Consider the following 6,945-nt stretch of genomic DNA (forward strand, 5'->3'; position numbering starts at 1 on the left):
ATGTGAGTGGTATAACATTGTCTAAACAACTGTCATGCCATAAGCAATTTCAACTTTCCTTTGGAAGGAATCAGGAGCTCTTCATCCTGGTCTTCCTTCAGGAAAGTTAGCATTTAGCATTATAAAGCATTCATTTCTACCAATTACACCAGCTTCTCCTCACAAGGCCCTAATCTCTTGACTGGGATGGAGACACCTTCACTTAGCTACATTGCTCAAATAAAAATAGGCTTTGTTCTCTTGCACCTGAATATCACTTTTCTACTTTTGAGAATAGGGTCTTGAATGTAAATAACCCCTCTTGTTTGCACGTAGGCTAGTTCCATAAACATTATAAAATGGCCACTTCCTATTTCCTTACTTTGTAAATTTCATTCCTGGCAGTATTACATTTTTACAACTCATATTTCATTAAATGTTTGGTTATATCCCATGTACCTCATTCAGTAGACATATGTTGAACTCTTAGATTCAGTCACATCTATTATAATTCTCTTTTATTCTTTAAAATAACTTTCTGGGATGTGTATCTTGTTTACTGAGTGGGATACCTGGGCTTGGACAGTTTGGCATATGGTTCAAGGTCACATTTATCTAAGGTCATAGAGTCAGCAGAGCAAATATAAGAATTCAACTACTTTGACACCATGTCTCTTGTTTGTTCCACAAGACCAGAGGGTTTCCTTATAAATGGAATGAAACTATCCCTCCTGTGGCATGGTCAACATAAAACTGGAAACATTAAACAATTCAAGATAGTCAATATCTTATTGTATCAAAAGGATTGGCCTAGCAAAGAAGTATTATAGGGGTGAAGTGAATGTGGGCTATAGTAATCTAGGACTGAGTTTGACTAGGGGAGTGGAATAAGAGCAAAAGGGAGGCTTGCTTGACTGGAGGAAAAGCATCAGGAAATATGTTGAGTTGTGGCTAAGCATGTGATCTGGGGACAAATAAGAAATCTTCCTAATGTAAATCATTGGAATTATCTCATAGATAAGTTTTTCAATGCTTTTAGCATTGCCTTGAATACTTTCTGGACTAAGATGGCATGCAAATAACCAAACAAAGCCTACAATGGGAATCTGAAGACATTTTAAGAATTGTGTGAATGTGCAGAAAACCAGGATGTTGCTACTTGATTGACAGTTGACTATGTACATATAAAAACACAGAGTTATGGACTTAATGCAGGTTAAGCAAGGTGTATTTGATGGCATGTATACATCATACAAATATGATCTTACCTTGTTTTTAATTCCATCTTGGTGAATACAAGCATATTAAATATTCCACTTGCAATCGTTTTTCTCAGCAGTTCATCCATTGACATGCACACACACGCATGTGAGCAGATGTTTTCTAGTACCTTTGGCAGAAGAATTTAGTGCCTTGTACACATCACACCTGCCATGTCATGCTTATTGATTGAGCAATTCAGCTCGCTGAAAGGTACTGGGTTAGATATTAATTTTAAAATGAAAGCCTTCACATCTGCTAATGCCTGCCAGTCTCTGGAGTGAATGTGCCATTGAAGCCAACGGAAGTGGGCAGAAGCAGCCTTCATGGGTAGGACTGACAAGTTATTTTGAGTCTACTGAATTACCTTTATTGTTGCCCCATACTTATAGGCAGACCTCTCCTTCCGTTAAACTCCTTCACTCACAGTACTTCTGAAAATAGCTCTGGTGGTTTGGAACTGGTCTTCCTGGATTTTCACGCAAATGGAATATTTGTGGTAGTTGAGTGATAAATGGTGAGATAATGGTGTTTTACAGGCAGTGAAATGACAAGGTCAGTTTTAATTAAGCTGAGATCAACCTCAGTCTGTATTGCACACTTCTGATTAGGTTATTTCAAATTAACATAAGTTTTTGGAGACTTCGCTGAAGTCAGTGGTGTTAAACACCAGCTGTGCTGGCAGAGAAGCGTGGGATATGAGAAGGAGATAGCATTCACATTGAAATTAGCACTTGGCACAATATAATTCTCTGATTGCAAACTATGTGGAGTTGCCTGTGCTAATTGGTTGATTTTATTTGAAGCAGATGTTGTTAGCTTTCCCAATAATGATCTGGAGAGAAATTCTTTTGAAAGACATGCCATGTTAGGATCTCTGCAGTATAATAAGCTAATTACAACTTTAAGTACTTGCAGTAATTAGCACAATGTGTATAAAGTGTTCCTGATCTTTTCACCCTGCCGCATTATTGTCAGGGCAGCTTGAAAAACAAAAAGGAATGCTAGATGGATTGAGTCTCCCTGGTCTAGCCTCTTCGTTTCCCAGACTTCTGCACTAAAGAGATAATGAACTCGACTTAAATCCTTCTCTTTCAAGCATGCCAAAAAAGGTTTAGGAACCAACCCCCACCATACAACGCCCAAAAAATGGAGAGTGAAATTTGCCAAACTAAATGTTGCTTCAAACACATATGCCTTTAAGAGGCAGTGAAGTCTTCAAACATTAGCAAACCGAGACCGTTAACATATTTATTTCATGTTCACTTATTTTATTGTTTACCAATTTGGTCCATGGATCAAACCCGTATTTTATTTGGGAACATTATACCATCACACCTCCAAGTTAAACCTCTAACTTTCCTGTATAGATACCTTCAAATGTTTCTGTAAGCCTAAAATCCAGTCTCTCCATACTTTTAAACACCAAGTTGTTACAGACACATATTTTGCTTATGTTAATAATGAGAGTGAAGACATAGGAGTAGATGTGGCTCCCCACATCTTCGTATGTGAGAAAAATGGAGAAAAAAATGAATGGGGAAGAAAATAATTGATAGAGACAAATTCTTAATAACATAGTAAGCAAAGTCCACAAATGGTAAGTAAGTGCTATTGTAGAAGTGAACCTTGACTGTTGAGGCTGGTGACTACAATTCTAGTACCTCTAAAAAGAGGCTAAGTTGATTAGTAGAAAATAATTTAAAGTAAAATGTCACAATTTCAATAACTCTTTGTGACTTTTTAAAGGTAGTTTGAAATTTGGATTTTTAAGACCTAATATTTGAGATAGATGTTTGAGAGTCATTCATAACAAAGTCTACTGGAACAGGTGAATGTATCGAGCTTTTATATTTTCTCATGACTTCTTTGGTTTCAAGATACTTCTGGGAGAGGCAGAGACCGGACAAATTCTCTTTTTAAAGTACCTTAGAAGATGTGGGCTGGCTCATGTCCTTTGGCTCTAATTTCCAAAAGTAGGCAGCATGATCTCATATTCTTAACTGGTTGCAGAAACGTGGTAGAAAATTCTATTATCTGCGTCTCTTGTGCTGTTGTGTCTTTGGTTGTTCTGGAATGGAAAGCTGGGATTTCTGTGGTTGCTGGATTTATATCTATTTGTAGAATTTCTCAAGGTAAAAACAAGACTTCTGATAACTTCAATTGGTTATATCTTAAAGCGAGGAGTGAAAAATATCACACTTATTTTAGAAAAGCAAAGATAGGGCTGATAGAGATTCACCCTCTCAAATTATTAAAGGAAAGGAAGGTTATAGGTTTGAGGGGGATCCCAATACTTGAAACATTCTTTGTATATAAACACTTTATGGTTATGAAAATTTATTGATACAAGTAATGACAAGAAGAAAATACTTTGTGTTTTCCTACATCTATAGAGCTTCAAATGCTCAGTGGAACCCAATAAGAAGAGTAATTATGTTCAAGCAAAACATTCAAAGATAGAGTTTAGACCTGGTGCTGGCATTTTATACCTGAGAAAGTGTCTGCCATGTGTTAGGCATGTGATAAATGGTGAATGGATGAATGTGTTTTAGTTAAAAGTTAACGAATTCTCTGTCACTTCCATGAGGTTTGGTGTATTTCCACACCTCTGGAAGTATCATAAATGGAAACTACTCAAAGTGCCATATATCATTATTTGTCTAAACAGTCTCAAGAGGCTTATGGGTGCTTTAGTATGAAAGGTTAAAGGTACACACTGGATGTTTGTAGTTTTGACATCTAGCATCCTTATTCATATAATTTAAAAGTTTTATTTGGATACAGAAAGGATCCATCCACCTAGTAATGGAGCATCTGTTAGAGTAACATACACTCATTTGAGAGTAAACCAATAGATTTACATTGTTTTGTCAATAAGAATCCTTTGATGTTTTTGTCTACTTAAACTCAAAGTTTCTATAACTTATTCTTAGTATAATACCTTGGTCATAGAAATATAAACTAGATTCCTAATGGTATTTTTTTGCTCTCACTATAAATAATCTGCACTTTCCTAATTTTGAGAAAACTAGAAGTTGTCAAGCTATTGCTTGATGCTTGAGATATAATACTATATATAATGAGTATTATATTAGATATTATGTTAGATATAAAAGTATATGTAACATATATATACACCACATGATGTATTATGGTATAAATTATCTATCATATAAGTTTTTAATATTCATCTATGTATCTATGTACATATCTGTCATCTTTCAAGAGAGGTCAATGTTGAAAAGGCTATAACCAAATGATTACTTTTATAATTTTATTATGTTCTGATAACAGTTATTTGGAAAGAGTTAATAGCTAATCTATGATTTTTTTTTCTCTATACTTTTTCTTGAAAAGAAAATAGTCTGACATACAGAAAGACAAACTGACTTATTAAACCTTTTAGCTTTCTAGGGCTGAAAAATTTTCCTAAAGAGAAGGTCCCCAGCTTTCTGGGGAACCAGCAGATTGAGAGATGACCTTTTATAATGCATCTGCCCACTGCCAGTCCTCTATGTTCCAACATGGCACTCTTCTGTCCTGTCAGGGTCTAATGAAGCATGCAATCCCATGTGACTTATTCCTGAGATGCCAGCAGAAATAATCATTTCTTTTACTTCCAAATGTGCAAAGTGGGGATAAGAGACCCTTCTTTGATTGTTGGAAAAAATTAAAAACTATAGATTTTTACATCAAAGAACTGAGGTTTGATCTTTAGAGCATACAGCAATTACATTTGAAAATCTCCTTTCTATAAGATTAAAAAATTCCATCTCATGCCTTCTTTTTTGTATGTCATAGATTTCTGGAATAGGGGTAAATAATATCATTTTGAAGAACAGATCTTTTCCTCCATTTTCCAATACATGTTTATTTTACCATAAAAAGCTTGAAAAACAAACTCCCTGAGGTACCAGAAGCAGGAGCAAGTGGGGTGGTTTGGCTGCAGACCAGAGCAGCACAATGGGTTTCTGCTTCCTTTCTGTTCATCGCTTTCCCCTTCCCTCCAAAGCACACACAAAGCTCTGCATGACTTTCTGGTTTCAGGCTTCAGTTTGGCAATTTTTTCCACTGTGTGTTGGGAAGAAATTGAAATGCAAAATTATATCCCCTGAAACAATCATATTGTTTTGGGAGCATAGGAAGAAGGAGAGATATAGGGATGAGGTTTTTTTCTTAAGAAGGGGGGTGGGGGGCTGCTATGAGCCACAATACCCATTGTTTGCTGCTCTATGAACCTTTCAGATTTTTTTATAACTCTTATTTAATTTTGCAAAAAAGTATCTTAACCACTGAGAAAATTGTGCAGAGGAAGAAAATTTCTTCCTGATGAGGGATTATGCTCAGCAGAGACGCAATAGTGTACTGTGTCGCTTGCTTCTATTTGCTATTTTCTCTCCACTGGGCACACCTCATTTCACATATACAACCAGTAAGTCATTGGGTTAAGAGTTTAGCAGACCCAGAAGTGGAGAAGGGGTGATTTCGGCTCTAGTCATAGCAGGTAATGGAGCTGGAAAAGAAGGCTTCAGTATTGCTTCAAGAAAGTTGAAAATGACTGATGTGATGACTAGCAGTAATATCTAAAACAAAAGTATAGCTCTGCACTACAGTAAGAATGAGTGACCTTCTTGGCTTGGAAGAAGAGTCAAGAGGGTGGAGGAACATTTAGGAGGAACAAATAGACCTATAATGTTGGTATTTAAATGCAATTTACTCACTTCAGCAGATAAAATCTTAATATGTATGTCATCTGTGGCCAGAGCCTAAGAATTATAAGCATTTATTTGTTTTAAATAATTTGAAAAAGAGCAGTTTTATTAAACACTACAGCCATCTAAGTAAAAATTTAAAATAAATTATTTCTTTATCTCTCATAAAGTATTCTCTGCCTACAGGTTTATTTTTTTTTTTTAATAGGGTTTATGTTTTAAAGCAGTTTTAGGTTCACAGCAAAATTGAGTGGAAGGCATAGAGATTTCCCATTGACCCCTTGTCCCCACATGCACAGACTCTCCCACTGTCAATGCTCCCAACTGGAGTGGTACATTTGTTACAGCTGATGAACCTACATTAACGCATCATTATCACCCAAAGCTCACAGTTTACACTGGGGTTCACTCTTGGGTTATACGTTTTATGGGTTTAGACAAATGCATGACATGTATCCACCATTATAGTATCACACCCAATATTTTCACTGCCCTAAACATCCTCTGTGCAGCAATGGTTGCCTCAACATCAACTTTGCTTCTTCAAATGCTGGAGCCAAGGGAACTGTGGTCCTTAAGTCTGGATATGCTCCCACCCAAGTGCCTGCCCCCATGTTATAGGCTCGCAATGTAGATATCAAATGAGCTAGGTATGATATAGAAATCCCTATGGACCCACATTTTTCTGTGATTCTGTCTAGTGTCAGGCCTTCTATGAGACGAAATATGCTTATTATTTGGATGTATCGATGTTTTGCTTTGTTTTCCTGGAAACTTCAGTGAAACCATGTCATCTCCAGTATGATAAGAATTAATGTTTTAGGACTATCAGTTTAGAGCAGGCATTCTTATTAGAGATTCAAAGATGAAAATTTCTAATAATTGTTGATAATTTGTTAATATAATGTGCATAATTATGGGAATAGGGTCCATAACTTTTCCTCAACATTTATGCATTAATAAGCATAGTATTTCATTCTGATAATAAATC

At 36.0% G+C, this 6,945-nt stretch overlaps 1 annotated feature.

Annotated features, from left to right (window-relative positions):
- Positions 734–2,844: an enhancer, noted in NCBI's record as "VISTA enhancer hs123". NCBI's record gives its function as "enhancer in: forebrain[4/4]" and the evidence as "EXISTENCE:transgenic organism evidence [ECO:0001131][PMID:17130149]".

Source organism: Homo sapiens, chromosome X (genome assembly GCF_000001405.40).
Source record: "Homo sapiens chromosome X, GRCh38.p14 Primary Assembly".
Lineage (NCBI taxonomy): Eukaryota > Metazoa > Chordata > Mammalia > Primates > Hominidae > Homo > Homo sapiens.